At 42.5% G+C, this 23,468-nt stretch overlaps 1 pseudogene, besides 2 other annotated features; it reads left to right on the top strand.

Annotated features, from left to right (window-relative positions):
* Positions 339-914: an enhancer, noted in NCBI's record as "OCT4-NANOG hESC enhancer chr14:99458699-99459274 (GRCh37/hg19 assembly coordinates)". NCBI's record gives its function as "activates a minimal SCP1, AML or CMV promoter by ChIP-STARR-seq in naive and primed H9 embryonic stem cells {active_cell/tissue: H9 hESC(naive and primed)}" and the evidence as "EXISTENCE:reporter gene assay evidence [ECO:0000049][PMID:30033119]".
* Positions 7,755-8,373: an enhancer, noted in NCBI's record as "OCT4-NANOG-H3K4me1 hESC enhancer chr14:99451240-99451858 (GRCh37/hg19 assembly coordinates)". NCBI's record gives its function as "activates a minimal SCP1, AML or CMV promoter by ChIP-STARR-seq in naive and primed H9 embryonic stem cells {active_cell/tissue: H9 hESC(naive and primed)}" and the evidence as "EXISTENCE:reporter gene assay evidence [ECO:0000049][PMID:30033119]".
* Positions 19,975-20,453, top strand: RPL3P4 (ribosomal protein L3 pseudogene 4; annotated as a pseudogene).

Genomic DNA, 23,468 nt, shown 5'->3' with positions numbered 1-23,468 from the left:
CTCCCAAAATGTTGAAATTACAGGCGTGAGCCATCACACCTGGCCTGAAGTGATTATTTAATCCCCACAGTGATAGAGATACCTGTTTTATCCCCCTTGGACAGATGAGTGAACTGGTTCTGAAAGGTGATTGTGCCCAAGGTCACAGAGCTAATAACCTGATGAACCACAATTACATCTTACATTCATTCTACATGACTAACCTATGTTTGTACCACGAGGAGGTTTATATCCTCTAATTATAGTCTGGTGCGGGACACAGACATCAAAATCCAGTGAGACAAGTGGACATGGTATTGTCAGAGTACTGGCCACTGTAACTGGGGGTGGAGGATTTCATGCGCGTCCCTGTGAAGAGACCACCAAACAGGCTTTCTGTGAGCAATAAAGCTTTTAATCACCTGGGTGCAGGCGGGCTGAGTCCGAAAAGAGAGTCAGCGAAGGGAGATAAGGGTGGGGCTGTTTTATAGGATTTGGGTAGGTAAAGGAAAATTACAGTCAAAGGGGGTTTGTTCTCTGGCGGGTGGGAGTGGGGGTCGCAAAGTGCTCAGTGGGCAGGAGTGGGGGTCGCAAGATGCTCAGTGGGGGTGCTTTTTGAGCCAGGATGAGCCAGGAAAAGGACTTTCACAAGGTAATGTCATCAGTTAAGGCAAGGACTGGCCATTTACACTTCTTTTGTGGTGGAATGTCATCAGTTAAGGTGGGGCAGGGCATATTCACTTGTTTTCTGATTCTTTAGTTACTTCAGGCCATCTGGGCGTATATGTGCAGGTCATAGGGGATGCCATGGCTTGGCTTGGGCTCAGAGGCCTGACATTCCTGCCTTCTTAATAAGAAAAATAAAACAAAATAGTGTTGAAGTGTTGCGGTGGTGAAAATTTTTGGGGGGTGGTATGGAGAGAGAATGGATGATGTTTCTCAGGGCTGCTTCAAGTGGAATTAGGGGCGGCGTGGGAACCTAGAGTGGGAGAGATTAAGCTGAAGGGAGGTCTTGTGGTAAGGGGTGATATTGTGGGGATATTAGAAGAAACATTTGTCGTATAGAATGATTGGTGATGGCCTGGATATGGTTTTGGAAGAATTGAGAAACTAAACGGAAGATACAAGGTCCGAATAAAAGAAGGAGAAAAGTGGGTATTAAAGGACTAAGAATTGGGAGGACCCAGGACATCCAATTAGAGAGTGCCCAAGGGGGTTCAGCATAATTACTTGCTTGGTTGGTAAGTTTTTGGGCTCTATCCTTGAGTTTTTTTATGTTGTCATACACCAGGCCAGATTGATTTAGGTAAGAACAACACTCCTCATTTAAGAATATGCAGAGTCCTCCTTTTTCAGCAGTGAGTAAGTCAAGGCCTCGGCGGTTTTGGAGGACAACTGCAGCTAAAGAGTCAACTTGGGCCTGGAGGACTGATAAAGTTTGTGATATGTCTGTGATGCTAGCAGAGAAGTCATTAGACAGGCTATGGAAGGTCATGACAGACATTGAAATGCCTGCTATTCCAGTACTGAGAGCAATAGTGGAGGCAGAAAGTCCTAAACCGACCATCAAGGGAATTAGTGGAATAACTCTTTTTTGTCATGTCGGTGTCATGAGGGGAACAGGGAGCTCTTCGGTCCCATTTGCAAATTGAATTTTGGGGGTAAGGAAGACTAGTGTACATGTGCCTGTCCAATTGGCAGGTAGACACATGTAGGTAGAGGATCCACAGAGGAAGAAGAGACCTTGTGCGAGGCAAAACTGGAGATGTAAAGTAAAAAGGTGAGAAGGAGTGCTGAAAGGGGTGTCTTGTACCCAGACTCCTAGGGATCCAGCTAGGGCGGCAGCTGTCAGAGGTTGTAATGGGGACTGATGGGGTAATTGTGTAGAGGGGGAGGTTTGATTTTCATGGTGTATGAGAAAATGTCGACTATCTACGAGCAACCTTTCACTGTTATTTTCAGGGCTGGGTATAAGTAAACAAGAAGAGGGCCTGGGAGGAGAATCTGATGAGCAAGGGGAAGGTAGCCAAGGATGGAGGGAAATACGAGGCAAGTGTCTTCCTAAGCAATAATTACTGCTAATGTTTTTAAGTTTGTCAGTATTGATAGAGGGCTTGTCTGTAATATGGAGCTGGAAGGCTCCAATTGTTTCAGTGATGTGTGTAGTTGGACTTCAGAGATGAAGAGTAAAGGAACGTCGAGAAGGTGAAAGATTACCTAGGGGAATTCCAGTGGGTCTTTGTCAAGAGATACATAAAGGAGTGGCCACAGGAATAGTAGTTTGTGTGTGAGAGGTCCAAATATGGGGGGAGTAGAGTTAATATAAGGAGAAAGGTTTTTTAAATAAGTGCGAAGGAGGGCGGCAGCTTGCTGATGTGAAATGTCTGGGGAAGTCTTGCTGGACCTGTCTAGAAAGTAAATGAGTTCTTCAGGAGGGTAAAGGTGAGGGCTGTTAAAGGAAGTTCGGAGGTGTAGGGAGATGGGAGATGTTGCCCAGTCTGTCTGTAAGGCGGGGACAGCTGTGTAGGCACTGGAAGAAAGGGAAATGCAAAGCCAGCAGTTGTTCGCTAAGGAGGGATTAGAAGCAGCTAGGAGAGAATGGGTAAGGTTGATAGTGTGGTGGAGATAGCTGGGGAGAGGTAGAGGGTGACATAAGAATGGGAATGAGAATAAGAGTGAGTATAAAAGTAAAGAATAGAACTTCATCAGGGTGGAAGTATTGGAGGGTGCCTTGCCAGCAAAGATCATCTATCCACTCTAAGAGGGAGTTAAGAGTGGCAGTTTGGGGATAGCACCAAGAGATATCAGCTGTGATGGCTTGGAGAAACAGTGTAAACCGGCGGTGTAAACAAGAGTAGGGCATTTATAAGTAGTTGAGAATGGAGAATAGGAGTATGACCGGACAGAAGATAGTAGGGATGACTAGTTTTTTGGGGCTCGGCCTAAGTGGTGGGGTGACTTCGTAAAGCCCTGTTGCAAAAAGTAGGGTAAGGATGAACAGACCTAATAGAATGAAGGGATGTATTAGGCTCATAAGGGTTATTACTGTTCTTCAGAAATACGAGTGTGTTTAAGGGAAGTTGGGGAGAGTACTTGCGACTTCCAGGAGGAAGAGGAGGGATTAGGCTGGCTGTCCGATGGACACAGCTTTATTCTGGAACGGTGAACCCAGTGGGGAGGATCCTGCAGGCGGACGGCAGTCAGGGTACTATAGATGACTAAGTAGGGTCCGGTCCATCGAGGTTGTAGAGTTTGAGGGGTCAGATTCTTAACAAGAACTGATCGTCCAGCTAGGTTGTCTTCATATGGCTGGGGATCTGGAGTAGGCAAGAGAAGATTAGCAGCCTGGCGAATTTCCTGTCTAGCCTGCTGGAGTACTGGAAGATAGTCGCCTAGAGGGCTGGTGTCTGGGATGAGGTTGGGGCCAAGCAAGAAAGTGCATCCATATAAAAGTTCAAATGGACTGTACCCTGTAGCATCTCGAGGACAGGCTCTGATTCTGAGAAGAGCAAGAGGTAAAAGTACTGTCCAATCCTTTTTAAGTTGGAGGCTGATCTTGGTGAGGTGTACCTTTAAAAGACCATTAGTCCGTTCTACCTTTCCTGAAGATTGAGGACGGTAAGGGGTATGAAGGTTCCACTGAATACCAAGAGCCTGAGGAACTGCTTGGGTGATTTGGCTAGTAAAGGCTCATCTGTTATCAGACTGTATTGAGGTGGGAAGGCTAAACTGAGGAATTATGTCTAACAGAACGGAAGAAATGACTGCGGTGGCCTTCTCAGACCCTGTAGGAAAGGCCTCTACCTATCCAGTGAAAGTATCTACCTAGACTAAGAGGTATTTTAGTTATCTGACTCAGGGCATGTTGAGTAAAGCTAATTTGCCAGTCCTGGGTGGGGCAAATCCTCGAGCTTGATGTGTAGGGAAGGGAGGGGGCCTGAATAATCCCTGAGGAGTAGTAGAATAGCAGATGGAACACTGAGAAGTTATTTCCTTGAGGATAGATTTCCACGATGGAAAGGAAATGAGAGGTTCTAAGAGGAGGGCTAGTGGCTTGTACTATAGCATAACCTGCCTTTGCTGGTGTGTGGCGATTAGGCCTGGTGGAACCGCCATCAATAAATCAAGTGTGATCAGGGTGAGGAACAGGAAAGAAGGAAATTTGGGGAAATGTGAATGTTAGGTGGATCAGAGAGATACAGTCATGGGGGTCAGGTGTGGTATCAGGAATAATGTGGGAGGCCAGATTGAAGTCTGGGCCAGGAACAATGGTAGTTGTGGGAGACTCAACAAGGAGTGAGTACAGCTGAAGGAGCCGGGAAGCAGAAAGTATATGCTTCAGGTATGAGGAAGAAAATAGATTTTGGAAGTTATGAGAACTGTAGAGAGTGAGTTGAGCACAGTTTGTGATTTTTGAGGGCCTCTAAAAGTATTAAAGCAGCGGCAGCTGCTGCACGCAGACATGAGGGCTAGGCTAAAACAGTAAGGTCAAGTTGTTTGGACAGAAAGGCTACAGGGTGTGGTCCTGGCTTTTGTGTAAGAATTCTGACCGCGCTAACCATGCCTAGGAAGGAAAGGAGTTGTTTTGTAGAAGGTGCTTGGGTTTGAGAGATCAGTTGGACACAATTGGCAGGGAGAGCACGTGTGTTTTTATGAGAATTATGCCGAGATAGGTAACAGATGAGGAAGAAATTTGGGCTTGATTGAAGTAATGGGGGCTGTCTGTGAAGCTTTGTGGCAGTACAGCCTAGGTAATTTGCTGAGCTTGATGGGTGTCAGGGTCAGTCCAAGTGAAAGTGAAGAGAGGCTGGGATTAAGGGTGCAAAGGAATAGTAAAGAAAGCATGTTTCAGATCCAGAACAGAATAATGGGTTGTAGAGGCAGGTATTGAGGATACGAGAGTATATGGGTTTGGCACCACGGGGTGGATAGGCAAAACAATTTGGTTGATAAGCCGCAGATCCTGAACTAAATTGTAAGGCTTGTCTGGTTTTAGGACAGGTAAAATGGGGGAATTGTAAGGAGAGTTTATAGGCTTTAAAAGGCCATGCTGTAGCAGGCAAGTGATAACAGGCTTTAATCTTTTTAAAGCATGCTGCGGGATGGGATATTGGCATTGAGTGGGGTAAGAGTGATTAGGTTTTAATGAGATGGTAAGGGGTGCATGATCGGTCGCCAAGGAGGGAGTAGAGGTATCTTATACTTGTGGGTTAAGGTGGGGGGATACAAGAGGAGGAAGCAAATGAGGCTTTGGATTAGGAAGAAGGGTGGCAATGAGATATAGCTGTAGTCTGGGAATAGTCAGGGAAGCAGATAATTTAGTTAAAGTGTCTCAGCCTAATAAGGGAACTGGGCAGGTGGGGATAACTAAAAAGGAGTGCTTAAAAGAGTATTGTCTAAGTTGGCACCAGAGTTGGGGAGTTTTAAGAGGTTTAGAAGCCTGGCCGTCAATACCCACAACAGTTATGGAGGCAAGGGAAACAGGCCCTTGAAAAGAAGGTAATGTGGAGTGAGAAGCCTCCGTATTGATTAAGAAGGGGACGGGCTTACCTTCCACTGTGAGAGTTACCCGAAGCTCGGCATCCGTGATGGTCTAGGGGGCTTCCGAGGCGATCGGGCAGCGTCAGTCTTCAGCCGCTAAGCCGAGAAGATCTGGGAAGGAGTCAGAGAGCCTTGGGCCAGAGTCCCAGGGGCTCTGGGAGTGGCTGCCAGGTGAGTTGAACAGTCCGATTTTCAGTGGGGTCCCACACAGATGGGACGCGGCTTAGGAGGAATCCTGGGCTGCGGGCATTCCTTGGCCCAGTGGCCAGATTTCCGGCACGTGTAGCAAGCTCCTGTGGGAGGAGGTTCTGGAGGAACGCCTGGCCGCTGCGGTTCAGGTGTTTGGAAGTTCTTGTGTGCTGGAGATGTGGCTGGGGTTTGTCTCATAGTGGAGGCAAGGAATTGCAACTTTTTTCTATTATTGTACACCTTGAAGGCGAGGTTAATTAAATCCTGTTGTGGGGTTTGAGGGCTGGAATTTAATTTTTGGAGTTTTAGTTAATGTTGAGAGCAGATTGGGTAATAAAATGTATTTTGAGAATAAGATGGCCTTTTGACCTTTTAGGGTCTAGGGCTGTAAAGCGTCTCAGGGTTGCTGCCAAACGAGCCATGAGCTGGGCTGGATTTTTATATTTGATGAAAAAGAGCCTAAACGCTTCTGATTTGGGGTAAAGAAAAAGGAGCATTAACCTTGACTATGCCTTTGGCTCCAGCCACCTTTTTAAGAGTAAATTGCTGGGCAGGAGGGGGAGGGCTAGTCATGGAACGAAACTGTAAGCCGGACCAGGTGTGAGGAGGGTAGGTGATAAAAAGATTATAGGGTGGAGGAGCAGAGGCTGAGGAAGAATTGGGACCTAGCTCGGCCTGGCGAGGAGCAGCCTGGGGAGGAAGGGAGAGGTCAGATGGGTCTGTAGAAAAGGAAGGTTAGAAAGACTCAGCGACACTTGGGGTTGGTACTGAGGGGACAGGCGGGAGGGAAAGAAGGAAGATTTGGGATGAATTGCACTGGGCACAGAGACTAGGAAGGGACTGATGTGTAAAAGAATGCCTGGACATCAGGCACCTCAGACCGTTTGCCTATTTTAGAAGAATTATTTAGATCTTGCAGTATGGAAAAATTCAAAGTGCCATTTTTTGGCTATTTGGAACTACTGTCGAGTTGTATTGGGGTCAAGCGGCATTGCAGAAGAAAATAAGGCATTTAGGTTTTAGGTCAGGTGTGAGTTGAAGAGGTTTTAAGTTTTTGAGAACACAGGCCAAGGGAGTAGAAGGAGGAATGGAGGGTGGAAGGTTCCCATAGTGAAGGAAGCAAGCCTAGAGAAAAGAGAGAGTAGAGAAATGGAGGGAAGGGGTTCGGGGGTTCTTACCTTCCAGAAAAGTGGGAAAAGGGGTTGGGGCACAGAGATAAGAGGTTGGGGCGTGGAAATAAGGGATGGGGCACAGAAATAAGAGGTCAGGGCACGGAAATAAGGGATTGGGGCACAGAGATAAGAGGTTGGGGCGTGGAAATAAGCGATTGGGTGGTTCTTGCCCCCTAGGAAAGCGGGACTTGCCGCTAAGGGTGAAGGAGAAGGGGTTGAGGGGTACTTGCCCCTGCCCCAGGAAAGCGGGACTTGCCGCTAAGGGTGAAGGACCAAGGCAGGCGTCCCTGCGTGGTCTGACACCCTTGAAACGTGAGTGTATAATCAGAGAGGCATCCCTGCAATGATTAAACACCAAGGGAAGGCTGCCTTCCCAGTCCGTGACCGGCGCCGGAGTTTTGGGTTCATGGATAAAATATGTCTCTTTTGTCTCTACCAGAAAATGAAAGGAATTGAAATTAAGAGAAGGGAGAGATTGAAGTGTGGCGCCAAGATTGAAAGGAGAAAGAGGTTGAGGGATAGTGAGGGAGGTTGGAGAAGAGAGTAAAAAGAGGCCACTTACCGGATTTGAAATTGGTGAGATGTTTCTTGGGCTGGTCGGTCTGAGGACCTGAGGTCATAGGTGGATCTTTCTCATGGAGCAAAGAGCAGGAGGACAGGGGATTGATCTCCCAAGGGAGGTCCCCCGATCCGAGTCACGGCACCAAATTTCATGCACGTCCCTGTGAAGAGACCACCAAACAGGCTTTGTGTGAGCAATAAAGCTTTTAATCACCTGGGTGCAGGCGGGCTGAGTCCGAAAAGAGAGTCAGCGAAGGGAGATAAGGGTGGGGCTGTTTTATAGGACTTGGGTAGGTAAAGGAAAATTACAGTCAAAGGGGGTTTGTTCTCTGGCGGGTAGGAGTGGGGGTCGCAAGGTGCTCAGTGGGCAGGAGTGGGGGTTGCAAGGTGCTCAGTGGGGGTGCTTTTTGAGCCAGGATGAGCCAGGAAAAGGACTTTCACAAGGTAATGTCATCAGTTAAGGCAAGGACCGGCCATTTACACTTCTTTTGTGGTGGAATGTCATCAGTTAAGGTGGGGCAGGGCATATTCACTTGTTTTGTGATTCTTTAGTTACTTCAGGCCATCTGGGCGTATACGTGCAGGTCACAGGCGATGCGATGGCTTGGCTTGGGCTCAGAGGCCTGACAGAGGAGACACTGGGAAATCTAGGGGGAAGGACATTTGAGCTGGGCTTCTGCAGGACAGCCAAGAGCTCACCAGATGGTGGAAGACAAGGTACTTGCTACCTATAGTTTCCCATGGCCTCTGCTCCAGGCTAGGCCCTACAAGGGAGGACCTCCCTAAAGTTTCAGTTTGGGGTTCTTATTTTAATTTGTGGTGCCTGTGATGCGGAGTTCTGAGGAGAAGACCTAAAGGAAATTGCTGTTTTGAGCCTGTTGGGCTGTGTCCCCAGTAGGTGCAGATGTTCTGATAAGGTGTGGTGATCGTGACCTCACAGAGCCGCTCTGCCAGGAGATAAGGGCAGATGAGTTGCAGAAAGAGCTTCCTGTCGTGGGCTGATTGGCTGGCGGGGTGGATCTGAAGCTGCGGCTGGGCCAGCCCTGCAGAGGCCGCTGACTGGGTCAGTGAAGTGCTGAGGCTGCACTTCTTGCTCTACCCTCCATGGCTGCATCTCTGGGTCACCTCGTCCATGGAGGACCCCTTTGAGACACGCGGGGGCAAAAGAGAGAACAGTGTTTTAGGGGATCCTTAGAGCTGGTTTCAGTCTTGCCTATGTTATTAGTTAGCTATGCGGTTGTAGCAAAGCCACCTTGCTACTCTGAGCATCCTTCCCCCATCTATAAAATGGAGTTATCAGTCCCAACTTCAAAGGACTATTGGTGGCGTTCAGCAGTCAGTGAACCCGAAGTTCCTACGAGGGCACCGGGTGTAGAATAGATGCTCAATCAAAGGTGGCTACACTTTGTGTCATCGCCCTATTCATCATGATTGTCCCATCACTCATTATCCTGGTCTGATTTTGGCTTCTGCTCTCTGGAGAATCTTTCTTGAGCTCTGTAGCCTTGCACCAAGCTCTGGGATTTCAGCTATAATCAGTCTTATATACAGTGCCCTGCCTGGAGCTTCCAGGCCAGGAGAAGAGACTGGGCTTAACAGTTGATCAACCCCATATGTCACGAGTAGGGTGAGCTCTGTGGAAGTAAAGTCTGTGGGTGGGGAAGTGGCCTATGGGGTCTCACCCAGACCAGCCAGAGATGTTCCACCAGGAGCCTTCAGCCTGGTAAGCAGCAGGGCAGGGGGTGTGACTCCAATCTGGATCTGCCTGACTCTGAAGACGTTGTGCTCTTTGATAGCTATGCAATGAGGTCACCATGCTCTAGGAACCAACATTTGTCCTATTTGGTGTCACCTCAGTCCTTTGGGTTCAGTCCTCAAAATAGGTAAACGTCAGAAGTCATCCCTTTCCTTTTTGGTTTGTCAAAATGCTGCAGGCTTTTTGCTCTTCCTCCCTCCCTCCCTCCTTCTTTCCTTCATTCCTTCTTTTCTTTCTTCTTTCGTTCCCTTTCTCCTTTCCTCCTTCCCTTTCTTCCCTTCCTCCCTCCCTTCCTATTGATGCGGCTTCACAATGTGAAACTGTGTCCCTGTGAGTACACGATCTGTACGTGTTGCTGGGGCACTGTACTTGAGCTCCGATATCATCCCTCCTCTGTGTGCACCATGAAAACCAGTTTGCTACCTGGAGGAGTCCAGACACCTCAAATGTCAAAGGAAGCTTCTCTTTCTGTTTCTGTCTCTTCCCTCTTCTGTGGGAGGGGCCACAGCTTGAGGAAAGGGCCCATTTTGGGGGCCAAGGAATTATTCAAGGGGGCCAGGGAATCAATTTTTACTCATCTACTAAGGAGCAGCTCCAGGACCGGCCCAGGACCCTGCTAGAAAGAACATTCCAATACAGGCTGACAGGCTGTAGAAATTAACGCGCAATACAATGAGGGGTCGTTATTCACATGGGTTGAGAACAATAACAAAAAATGCGGGAATATTAATTGATGTGCCATGTTCATAAAATGAAGAGGGGGGAGGAGAGCTTGAAATGATGGCGACAAAACAGTAAGAAGATGATTCCTAACGGGAAACATTAAACATACATACAGTGGCAGCGAATTGGATACGTTCGCAACAGATTTCCTGCTAACACAAATTGGCTGTTAGCCTCTTTACAGACAGCTGAGGGAAGCTGGCATCTTGGTTTGTACTAAGTGGAGAATTTTAACCGATTAGGGAATGTGGGGTGCTAAAAACCATCCTCCATCCCCCGATAGCTGATATATTATTTGGTAAAGTCTGAAAAAGCAAGCTAAGAAGACAGGTCTAAGTCCCTGACTTCTGGATTCCAATGTTCCTCTCATCTTCCTCTCTCAGGGCATACATGTGATTTCCCCTTCTGTAGCACTTCCTGTAAAAACTTACGTGTTTATTTATTTGGTGTGATGTCTGTCACTCCAGCTAAGCTGTAGACTACAGTGTTTTTGCCAAGACATTCTAGGAGTTGGGTGTTTCCTCTACCTTGGCACCTTTGAGATCTCCTGTTCTTTCTGAATGCTGCCTTGTAGCACTGTAGCCCGATCCCAGAAGAAACAATTCTGGTATTACATCTGGACCCAAGTCCTCGTTTTGCTCTCTGGCTACTCTCAATGTGACCTTGGGCAAGCCATTCCACCTCTCTGCATTTCAGATTCCTAGTCTGCATAATGGAGGTAAGAACTGGGTGAGATAGAGTGGCACAGGATATAGTAGAATCCAGGTTTCCTGACCCCATGCCAACACTCTGTTCCCCACAATTGAATGTTCTACACTGGTGGCTTCCAAACGGGGTAGATGTACATGCAGGGAGTTAACACTGAAGACAAGGAAAAAACACTAGAACTTTTATTTATGGTTAACTCAGCTCAGTATAAATAAAAACACATGCTTAACAATACATGTGTTTAATTTATAAAGAAGGGTATACGTAGGAAGTCCATGCTCGAACATTCCGTCTCTGCTTTGAAATAGCTCACAAACTATATCTAGATGACAGAAGCTCAGCAATTTAGGCGTCTACCACCTTTTGTTTTAACCACTCTAAGTGGAAATAATTTCCGCTTAGGCAGAGACAGTGGAATATGATGTAGCATTGTCTGTGAAATTCCGAGCTCCGGTTGGGAATATCAGCTTGTACCACTCTAAAATACTGTGTGACTTTTACATGGGGCTACTATTTTTCAGTGACACTAAATGGCCCCAGACTTCAGTTCCTTTTCAGGTTTCCTGTCTGCTTTTTGTAGTCGTTCTATCTCTTTCTCACGCTACTCCATAAAGGTAAGAGCCTAAGAGGAATTTTGGAGGATTTGGGATTCTGGGTTCAGGTTGGCCACTAGCTTACCAGGTAAGCTTGGGAAGATCCCTTCTCTTCCCCGAGTTCTGGGTTCCTGGTTTGTAAATGAGTGGATTGGTCCAGGTCATCACCTCTGGTCCCTTCTAGCCCAGTGATGCCGTCACACTGAAAGATGTTGGCCAGTATATCTTTCAGCATCCCTCCTCCCTCCCCCTCCCTGAAATCTATTGTGGATTGGAAAGAAGAAACATATACAAGAAGTTGCCTTAGGTCTTTATGCATGGAAAAAAAAAAGTAAATAAGCAAGATTATTACAAAAGAGCCAAAGTAAGATTTAAGAGAGAATTGGAGGGCCTTTCCCTGGGACAAGTACATGAAGGTTCATTTATACTTTTTTTTTCTTTTTTTTTTGAAACAGAGCCCCACTCTGTCACCCAGGCTGGAGTGCAGTGGTGAGATCTGGACTCACTGCAGCCTCCACCTCCTGAGTTCAAGAGATTCTCGTGCCTCAGCCTCCTAAGTAGCTGGGATTACAGGCGCCTGCCACCACACCCGTCTAATTTTTGTATTTTTAGTAGAGACGGGGTTTCATCATATTGACCAGGCTGGTCTTGAACTCCTAACCTCAAGTGATCTGCCTGCCTTGGCCTCCCAGAGTGCTGTGATTATAGGCATGAGACGCTGTGCCTGGCCCATGCATGTGTTTTGTTTTTTTCATTGTGTTAACATATACCTAACATATAATTTATCATCTTAACCATTTCTCAGCATGCTGTTAATGGCATTAAATACATCCATAATCCTGTGCAAGCATCTCCACCATCTGCCCCCAGGACTCTTCATTGGAAACTCTGTCCCCAGTAAACACTAACTCCCCATTCCCCTTCCCCCAACCCTGGCAACCTCCATTCTACTTTCTGGTTCTATAAATTTGACTACTGCCGATACCTCACGTAAGTGAAATCATACGGCATTTGTCCTTTTTTTTTTCTTTTTGAGACAGAGTCTTGCTCTGTCCTCCAGGCTTGAGTGCAGTGGCACAATCTCAGCTCACTGCAATCTCTGGCTCCCAGGTTCAAGCAATTCTCGTGCCTCAGCCTCCCAAGTAACTGGGATTATAGGCATACACCACCAAGCCTGGCTAATTTTTGTATTTTTAGTAGAGATGGGGTTTCATCATGTTGGCCAGGCTGGTCTTGAACTCCTGACCTCAGGTGATCTGTCTACCTTGGCCTCCCAAAGTGCTGGGATTACAGATGTAAGCCACCAAGTCTGGACAGCATTTGTCCTTTTGTGACTGGATTATTTCACTCAGCATAATGTCCTCACGGTTCATCCATGTTGTAACATATGTCAGAATTTCTCTCCTCTGTAATGCGAATAATATCACATTGTATGGATAGACCTCATTTTGTTTATCCATTCGTCTATTAGTGGACACTTGTGCTGCTTCCATGCTTTAGCTATCATGAATAATGCTGCTGTACAAAAATACTGAACATAGCTGTACAAATATCTCTTCAAGAAAGTGTTTTTAATTCTTTTGGATCTATACCCTGTCTTAGTTCATTTGGGCTGCTTTGGAGTGGGTAATTTATAAGCCATAGGAATTTATTTTTCACAATTCTGGAGGCTGGGAAGTCCAATATCAAGGTACCAGCAGATTCAGTTTCTGGTGAGGGCCTCTTCCTGATAGATGGCATTTTCTAGCTGTATCTTCACAGGGTGGAAGGGATAAAAAAGCTCCTTTAGTCTCTTTTATGAGGGCACTAATCCCATTCATTAGAGTGGAGCCCTCTTGACCTAATCACCTCCCAAAAGCCCCACCTCTTAGTACCATCACATTGGAGATTAGGTTTCAGCGTATACATTTTGAGGGGACACACACACTCAGACAGTAGTATAGCCAGAAGTGGAACTGCTGAATCACATGGTGTATTGGTCTGTTCTGGCATTATCATAAAGAACTACCTGAGACTGAGTAATTTATAAAGAAAAGAGGTTTAATTGGCTCACAGTTCCACAGGCTGTACAGGAAGCGTGGCTGGGGAGGCCTCAGGAAACTTAACAATCATGGTGGAAGGTGAAGAGGAAGGAGGCAAGGATGGCATATCTTTTTTTTTTTTTTTTAGACAGTCTCACTCTGTCACCCAGGCTGGAGTGTAGTGGTGCCAATCTCGGCTCACTGCAACCTCTGCCTCCTGGGTTCAAGTGATTCTCCTGCCTCAGCCTCCCGAGTAGTTGGGACTACAGGCGTGTGCCACCATGCCCAGCTAAGTTTTTGTATTCTTAGTAGAGATGGGGTTTCACCGTGTTAGCCAGGATGGTCTTGATCTCCTGACTTCGTGATCCACCCTCCTTGGCCTCCCAAAGTGCTGGAATTACAGGCGTGAGCCACCTCACCTGGCTGGAAGGAGGCATATCTTACATGGCCGAAGCAGGAGGAAGAAAGTGAGGGGGGAGGTGCTACACACCTTTAAACAACCGGATAGCATGCGAACTCACTCACTATCATGAGAACAGCAAGGGAGAAGTTTGCCCCTATGATCCAGTCACCTCCCACCAGACCCCTCCTCCAACACTGAGGATTACAATTTGACATGAGATTTGGGCGGGGACACAAATCCAAACCATATCACAGGGTAATTCTAATTTTTTATTTTTTGAAGGAGTGACATACTATTTTTGCAGCGACTACACCATTTTACACTCCCACCAACAGTACATAAGTGTTTCAATTTCTCCACATCCTTAACAACATTTCTTTTTAACTTTGTTTTAAAAATTACTCTTTTGAGATTTCTTTATGTATTCTGGTTATGGTTCTTTATTAGATATGCAATTTGCTAATACATTCTCTCATTTTGTGGTTTGCCTTTTAAGTTTCCAAAGTGTCTTTTGAAGAACAGAAGTTCATAGTTTTGATGAGGTCAATTATAGTTTTTTTCCTTTAAGAATTGTGCTTCTAGTGTTGTAGCTAGGAAATATTTGCTTAACCCTAGGTTACAAAGATTTTCTTCTATGTTTTCTTCTAGAAGTTTTATAGTTTAATTTTTTACATTTAGTTTTATCATTCATTTTGAGTTAATTTTTGTATATAGTGTGAGGTATGGATTGAAGTTCTTTTTTGGCATAAAATTGTTTAGTTGTTCTAGCACTATTTATTGAAAAGACTGTCTTTCCTTCACTAAATTGTCTTAATATTTGTGTTGAAAATCAATTGACCATATCTATGTGAGTTGATTTCTGAACTTTGATCTAGTTGTCTATTTTAGCACCAATACCATACTTTTTTGATTACAGTAGTTTTGTAATAAGTCTTGAAGTCAGTCAGTGTTAGTCACCCTACTATGTCCTTCTTTTTAAAAGTTGTTTTGGCTATTCTGGGTTATTTGCATTTCCATACAAAATTTAACGTTGGCTTTCTACAAAAAGGCTTGCTTGGATTTTGATTGAGATTATGTTGCAGCTATAGATCAATTAGAAGAGATGTGGTATCTTAAAATTGTGAATCTTCTGTTTTATGATTATGAAAACCTTCATTAACTTAGATCTTTCTTAGTTTTTCTCAGCAACATTTTGTAGTTTTCTGTACTCAGGTCTTCCACATCTTTAGTTAGATTTATTCCCCTAAATGTTTCTTATTTTTTAATGCTACATAAACAATTTTTATTTCAATTTCTGGTTGTTTGTTTCCAGTCTATAGAAATATAACTGATTTTTATATTGATCTTATATTCTGCAACCTTGCCATACTCACTTATTTAGTTTTAATCAATTTTTTTTTTGCAGATTACATAGAATTTTCTATATGGGCAATATGTCCATGAATAAAAACAGTTTTATGCTTTCTCTTTCAATAGTTCCTTTTATTTCTTTTTCTTGCCTTATTGCACTGCCTAGAACTTCCAGTTCAATGGTGAATTGAAGTGGTGAGAGTGAGCTTCTCTGACTTGCTTCTGAACTAAGGATGGAAAAATTTAGTATTTTACCATTAAATATGCTATTAGCAAAAGTTTTTGGACAATGATCCTTATTATATTGAGCAAGTTTCCTTGTATTCCTAGTTTGCTGAGTGTCTTTGTTTTTCTTTTTTTCTTTTACATGATCGGCTCTTTTATTTATTCATTCACTACACATCTTCAGAAATGGATGCTTCATTTGGCCAAATGGTTTTTATGTGTCTATTAAGATGATCATATGTTTTTTAAAATTTTTTTGTCTGTTAATATAATGAACTGTAGTGATTTTCAAAAATTAAACCAATCTGTTATTCCAAGGAGAAAATCCTTTATATTTGTTATTAGATTTGATTTGCTAAAAAATTTTAAAGAAATTTTGCATTTATGATTATGTAAGCATTTATGATCATGTTGTTCTATAGTTTTCCTGTCTTGTAGTAATCTAGTTTTATTATCAAGATTGTGCTGGTTTATTGAATATGTGGAGAAACACTCCCACCTCTTCTATTTTCTGGAAAAATTTGGTATTATTTCTTTCTGAAATATTTGGGTAGGATTTACCAGTGAAGCCATCTGGGCCTGGTGTTTTCTACTGGGAAAGTTTTAAACAAAAATTTGAATTTATTCAATAGTCAAAGTGCTATTTGGGTTATTTACTTCTTTTTAAGTAAGCTTTGGTAATTTGTCGAATTTCATCCAAGTTGTTGATTTTGTTGGCATAAAATGTAATAATGTCCACTAGTTATCCCTTTAATATCTATAGAATTTGTAGTGATATCACCTCTCTTATTCCTGACATTAGTAATTTTTTCTTCTCTTTTTTGTTCCTGGTCAGACTGGCTAAAATTTCATCAGCTAATCTTGTCAAAAAAACAGTTTTTGGTTTTATTAGTTTTTTCTACTGATTTCTATTTCTTTAATTTCTGCTATGATTGTTTTTATTTTCACTATTTTCTGCTTAAATTTGGATTCATTTATTCTTCTTTAGCTAGTTTCTAAAGCTGAAAGCTGAAATAATTGACTTGAGACATTTCTTATTCCGTAATGCCATAAATTTCTCCCTAAGTGCTGCTCTAGCAGCATTCTATAAATTTTGATGTGTTTTCATTTTTACTCAGTTTAAAATATTTTCTCATTTTTATTTTGATTGCTCCTTTGCCCCGTGGAGCATTAGAAGAGTGTTTAGTTTCCAAATACAGTTAGCCTGTGTATCTGTGGGTTTACACCCATGGATTCAACCAATTATAGATTGGTTGAATCATAGATTGGCTTGAAAATATTTTTAAAAAAATCGCATCTGTACTGAACATGTATTGACTTAGTTTTTCTTGTCATTATTTCCTAAACAATACAGAATAACAATAATTTACATAGAATTTACACTGTATTTATTAGGTATGACATGTAATCTAGAGATGATTTAAAGTGTACAGGAGAATGTGCATAAGTTATATGAAAATACTATGCCATTTTATATCAGAGACTTAAACATCTGCAGGTTTTGGTATCTGTGGGAGGTCCTGGAATCAATCCCCCACAGATACCAAGGAATGACTGTACTTGACGATTTTCCAGATATCTTTGTGTTATTGATGTTCAACTTAATTCTATTGTGGTCAGTGAAAATGCTGTGTATGACACGGATTAGTAAGACTTGTTTTATGGCCCAGAATATGTTCTATTTTGGTGATTGTTTCAAGTGCACTTGAAAAAGAATATTCTGCTGTTGTTGGGTGAAGTGCTCTATATGGGTCGATTAGGTTGGCTGATAGTGTTCTTCAAGTATTATTAATGATTTCACATCTACTTGTTCTGTCAATTACTGAAAAGGGGACATTAAAATCTACAACTAGAATTGTGAAACTGTCTGTTTCTTTATGCAGTTCTGACAATTTTTCCCTCTATATTTTGAGGTTTTGTTAGTGGATGCGTAAACATTTAGGATCATTATGTTCTCTTGATGAATTAATACCTTTCCATTAAAAATGACCTTTGCTATCTCTTTGTTATTCTTTGCTCTGAAATCTACTTTGTCTGATTTTTAATATAACCACTCCTACTTTGTTTTAATTAGTGTTAGTGTGGTATATTTTTTCTCATCCTTTTACTTTTAACCTTTTAGTGTGTTTATATTTAAAGTGAGTTTCTTATAGGTAGTATAGAGTTGGGTCTATTTGTTTTGTTTTTATCCAATCTGACAGTCAATCTCTGTCTTTTAATTGTGATGTTTGGATGACTAATTTTTGATACCATTATAGATATGGTTAGGTTTAAATCTACCATCTTGCTATTAGTCTTTTATTATTCTCATCTGTTGTTTGTTTTTTTTTTCTTCTTTTCTACCTTTCTTTTGGATTGAATATTCTTTTTTTTTTTGAGACAGAGTCTCGCTCTGTCGCCCAGGCTGGAGTGCAGTGGTGCAATCTCAGCTCACTGCAACCTCTGTCTGCCGGGTTCACGCCATTCTCCTGCTTCAGCCTCCTGAGTAGCTGGGACTACAGGCACCCGCTACTACGCCTGGCTAATTTTTTGTATTGTTAATAGAGATGCGGTTTCACCGCGTTAGCCAGGATGGTCTTGATCTCCTGACCTCGTGATCCACCTGCGTCGGCCTCCCAAAGTCCTGGGATTACAGGCATGAGCCACCGCGCCCAGCCTGGATTGAGTATTTTTTTAATGATCCATGTTGTCTCATTTGCTTTATTAGCTTAGTAGTGAAACTTTTTGTTCAGTTATTTTAATAGTTGCTTTAGGGTTAATATGCACTTTAGTTTATCATGGTCAACCTTCAAGTGTTATTATATCACTTCACATATGGTATAAGTTGCTTATAACACTATATTTCTATTTTTCCTTTCCTGGCCTTTGCACTATTGTGGCCATACATTTTACTTCTACATACATTATAAACGCCATAATACATTGTTGTTATTTTTCTTTAAGCAGTCAATTGTCTTTTAAAGAGTTTCAGATAATAAGAAAAGTGCCTGTATATTTACCCACATGGTTATCACGTCTGGTGCTCTCCATTCCTTTGTGTAGATCCAGGTTTTCATCTGCTATCATTTTCCTTCTGCATGAAGGATTTTCTTTAACATTTCTTGTAGCACAGGTCTGCTGGTGATGAATTCTTTTAGCTTTTATACGTCTGAAAAAAGGCTTTATTTTGCCTCTACTCACTGAAGGACAGTCTCAAAGTCTCAACAAATCTACCAACAATTCCCTTTTTCTTTTTTACTGCCCCTCAAGGCTCTAAGAGGATTGTGCAAAAAAAATGGTAGGATTTAGAATTATTTCTTTTGTGCAGAATATTTTACAAGGGCATAGAGGAATCTGCATGTGTCTGAGCATCCACTGAGGCAGGAGCCAGTGTGGCTGATTCTCCATTCTGACAGCAGGAGTCATAATTAGAAAACAAAAGGACAGTGTGTGGGAGAGGGTAATTTGTCACTAATAAGATTGACATGGCCAGGGGAGGAGAAGAGTATTTTTTTTCTTAACTATCTCCTCACTGAGACAAATTTTTTTGTGGTGATAAATTTTTTGCCACCAGAAAATGAATATCTTTTGTGCCTCAGTGACAAAGTTTTAGGTTTCCATGTAGCATCAAAGTCATGTCTATCTTTCATGCTGTGTAGAAGGAACTAGATTTGCAGAAATTGTGAGAGATTTCTGTCCTCTTGGCTTATGGTACCTGTGGCTGGTTTCACAGATCACCTTTTCCTTGTCCTCCAAGGCAACACCTCCCTGGTTCAGTTGACATTCTGAGTCATTCTGTCTTGTTAATTTGGTTGGCTGTGTGAAACTAGACAAACAACCTTCATGCTTTCAGATCAATATTTTCCCCCTATGGTGCATATTGCTTATTTGAACAATCCTGGTACTGACACTTAAGCCCAACTGATTTCGTAAGGTGATAGAACTTAGAGGGAAGGGCCACAAAAACCAAAAACAATCAAAGCCTGGGTCATGGAAAAATCTTCAGAGTCTGGTTGTCTCAAGGTCAAGGCCTGGCTGGCTCATCTGAACCACTCTCCTTTCTAGGCCTCAGTCTCTCAGCTGTGCAAATGGATTAATGACTTCCTTTCCAACTCTAATTTCAAATCGATGCACCATTCCAGATTCCATGCATTCTCTCCCTTGCATAATCTCACATTGGATATTTTGCATGTGTCGAGCGTGTTGCAAATTCCATTCCTATGCTTTCTCGTAATAAAAACAGGTATTTTGTTTAATGTTCAAAATTATTTTTTCTATTACAGAAATAGCCATGTGAATGATAGAAAATTAAGAAAATACAGATTTGCAAAAAGAAGAAAATATCTGTACAAAAATCATACTGTCCAGAAATGACCACTATTTTAAATTTTTGCTTATATATCTGATATGATTTGGATCTTTGTCCCTGTCCAAATCTCATGTTGAATTGTAATCCCCGATGTTGGAGGTGGGGCCTGGTAGGAGGTGATTGGATCATGGGAGCAGAGTTCTCATGATGGGTTATAACCATCCCCTCCATGCTGTCCTTGTGATAGTGAGTGGGTGAGTTATTGTGAGTTCTGGTTGTTTAGAAGTGTGTAGTCATGCCAGCCTTGTATCCCAGGAAGGCTGTGAGGTGGACCGGCTTGGACGGGTCATCCTTAGGGAAGCTCTTCACCTTCCCACGATGCCTGCTGCTGCGCTTCCGAGGCAGGAAGCCGAGGGACCCATGTCTGGGAGCGGAGAACTTTCTGTGAGACATCACGCCATCAAATTCTCTGTGGCACGCGCTGGGCAGAAAGGCTACCATCACCGCACTGAGATCAACAAGAAGATCTATAAGATTGGCCAGGGCTACCTTATCAAGGATGGCAAGCTGATCAAGAACAATGCCTCCACTGACTATGACCTATCTGACAAGAGCATCAACCCTCTGGGTGGCTTTGTCCACTATGGTGAAGTGACCAATGACTTTGTCATGCTGAAAGGCTGTGTGGTGGGAACCAAGAAGCGGGTGCTCACCCTCCGCAAGTCCTTGCTGGTGCAGACGAAGCGGCGGGCTCTGGAGAAGATTGACCTTAAGTTCATTGACACCACCTCCAAGTTTGGCCATGGCCGCTTCCAGACCATGGAGGAGAAGAAAGCATTCATGGGACCACTGAAGAAAGACCGAATTGCAAAGGAAGAAGGAGCTTAATGCCAGGAACAGATTTTGCAGTTGGTGGGGTCTCAATAAAAGTTATTTTCCACTGAAAAAAAAAAAAAAAAAAAAAAAAAAGAAGTGTGTAGCAACTCCCTCCTCTCTCTCTGTTCTTTCTGCTCTGGCCATATGAAGATGCCTCTGCTCTGGTTTTGCCTTGTGCCATGAGTAAAACTCCCTGAGGCCTCCCCAGAAGCAGATGCTGGCACTATGCTTCCTGTATGCCTGTGGAACTGTGAGCCAATTAAACTTCTTTTCTTATAAATTACCCAGTCTCAGGCATTTTTTTATGGCAATGCAAGAAAGGATTAGTACAATATCCTTCCAGTCTTTCTTCTCTATATATCCTTATGCATACATTTCTATTTTTCCTTTATAAAATGGTATTATACAGGATAACTGGCTTTGTAATTTTTTTCATTTAACATTTTCTGTAATCAGCTTTCTACATAATTAAATATTCTTTCACCATGCATTTTCAATGCCTACCACATATTTGCTTCTAGATGTGTCATGACTTATTCAACCAGCTCCTGTTTTTGGACATTTGAGTGGTTTGCAAATTTTCACTGCCTTGAACAATTCTATGCTGAGTCCCTTAAAGTGGAGATTTTGTACACAGCTATAATAATTTCCTTAGGATCAATTTCTAGCAGCAGAATTTCTGGGACAAAGAACATTTACTTTTATTTTAGGTATTGAAACATTCCAAATCAAATTCCAGAAAAGGTTTTATGAATATAAACTTCAATTTATAAAGTAAGAGTACATCTTTTTCTAGCCACCTCTTCAATTCTAGATATTATTTATAAGTTTTCAACCCTTCATATGTAATTCTGATATCCAAAAGGCTCTGAAAACCCAAAATTTTTTCATCAATCATTTAGCATCAAAATCTGACCTCAATTGACATGAAGACATTAACAGCCTTCATCTGTCTCATTTAGTGTGGATATTCATATTTTGCTTTAGAAATATCTTGCTGTTGGATTTTGGGGTGCTGCTCCAGACATTTCAGGGTGAAAGGGCTGTTTATGTCCAGCATATGCACCACAATTCCTTTCTAAAGTCTGAAAATTTCTAAGTTTAGACTCACATTTGGCCTCAAGAATATCAGATAAATAGCTGTGAGCCTACATTAAAAAAATAATTGACACCAGCTAGTAGGCAAACGTGATGCCTCAGTTATTTTAATTTACATTTCTTTGTTTACTAGTAAGGTTAAATATATATTACCTATCTTTAGCATCAATATGATTATTCAGTTTTTGTTTATTTTGGTAGAGATTTTGGTTGTCTAGAGAATTTCTTTTTTATGAGAGACATAGTCTGTAACTTTATTTGGCTGATGATTGCAAGGATGTATACATTTGTCAGAACTCATTGATCTGTACATTTTACTATCTGTAAAATATTCTTCAAAGAATAAAATAAAAAAAAAAGCAACATAAAGGAGTGGTTCCATCCTGGCAGCCCCTCCCTGCGTGTGTTGGTGGGAATGTAACAGTTAGTATAATGAAGGAGCGAAAACAGACTTTAGGATACACTGAACTGAGTGTATATTTTTTCTTTTCCATTCAATAGTGGTGACCATGGGCAAATTCTTTAATCTCTGCAAGCCTTAGTTTTCTTATCTCAAAAATGATGCTGGTGCTAACATTTACTTTATAAAGTTCCAGTGAAGAATGAATGCATATAAATAGATGACGAAGTCAGCACAGTTTCGGGTACACAGTCCTCCAGAACCAAACACTCCCTGAAGGTGGGTGGTTATCTGCCATGAAAAACGGTGCACAGGCTGGGCGCGGTGGGTCACGCCTGTAATCCCAGCACTCCGGGAGGCTGAGGCGGGCGGATCACGAGGTCAGGAGATCGAGATCACGGTGAAACCCCGTCTCTACTAAAAATACAAAAGGTTAGCTGGGCGTGGTGGCGGGTGCCTGTAGTCCCAGCTACTCGGGAGGCTGAGGCAGGAGAATGGAGCGAACCTGGGAGGCGGAGCTTGCAGTGAGCCGAGATCGCACCACTGCACTCCAGCCTGGGCGACAGAGCGAGACTCCATCTCAAAAAACAAAAAACAAACAAACAAACAAAAAAAAAAACGGTGCACAGTGAAGGAAAGAAAGATCTCTCTTTAATTATGAGAACCTTGAGTATTTTCAGGTCTTGAAGATGTGTTTTATTAATCCTTTCTTCAGAAACATGATCCAACATCTGGACACCAATATCAAAAATATACTTTGGAAAAATTTTAAGAAAATTGGGCATGTCTCTGATGGAGCTCTCCCACCTTACAGAGGCATTTTTATATATTTCTGGTTATTAGATGATTTATTTTGAAATGAAATAAGGGATGATTAAAAAATAGATAATTTAGAGCAGGAAGGATTCTTATTTCCTGGTTCAAGTTAGAGAATATCTCTCAGAGTAAATGTTTTCTCCTCAAAGCCATGTGAGAAATATATTTTCAGAGTTCCAGAGTCCTTTCTTTCATTCTTTTTTTCTTCTTCTTCATCTTTGATCCATTTCTTGGCAGGGAAAAATTCTTGGGTCACTAACTCTCCCTCCTAGTCTATGGAGAAGGCCCTGTTGTGTTCCATCATTTGGGAATATGGAGGAAAATTTTGGAGCCAAATCATTTTTCCCCTACCTAGGATGCCAGTACATTTTTTTTTTCTTCATCCTTTGGCATTAGTCTCTTTGATTTTGTCTAAAAAAGAACATGAAAAATCAACACAAGGAGAGATTTTCTTGATCCCAGGGCAACTATTTTCCCCTTAGTCCTTAAATTAGTACTTGCTTTCTGTCTGATCTGGACTCTCTAGAATTTCAGTTGCACAAATATTGTGCCACTAGCATAGTTTTCTTGACACATATCACTTTATTCCTCATGCTGTCTATTGATCCTTTCTTTTGGGTTACAGGAGGATTTTTCAGCCAGTGCTCTACTTGGCTGATTTGGTTTTCTGCTCCATCAGTTCTGCCCTTCTCTCTCTCTGTCCCTCCTGCTTGTGTCCATCATGTGAATATTCCCTTAATCTCAGTCTTTCCTATGCAGGATGGGTGGG

This window comes from Homo sapiens, chromosome 14, assembly GCF_000001405.40.
Source record: "Homo sapiens chromosome 14, GRCh38.p14 Primary Assembly".
Lineage (NCBI taxonomy): Eukaryota > Metazoa > Chordata > Mammalia > Primates > Hominidae > Homo > Homo sapiens.
Note: the sequence above shows the minus strand (reverse complement) of the source record. Positions and strands in the feature narration are given on the sequence as shown.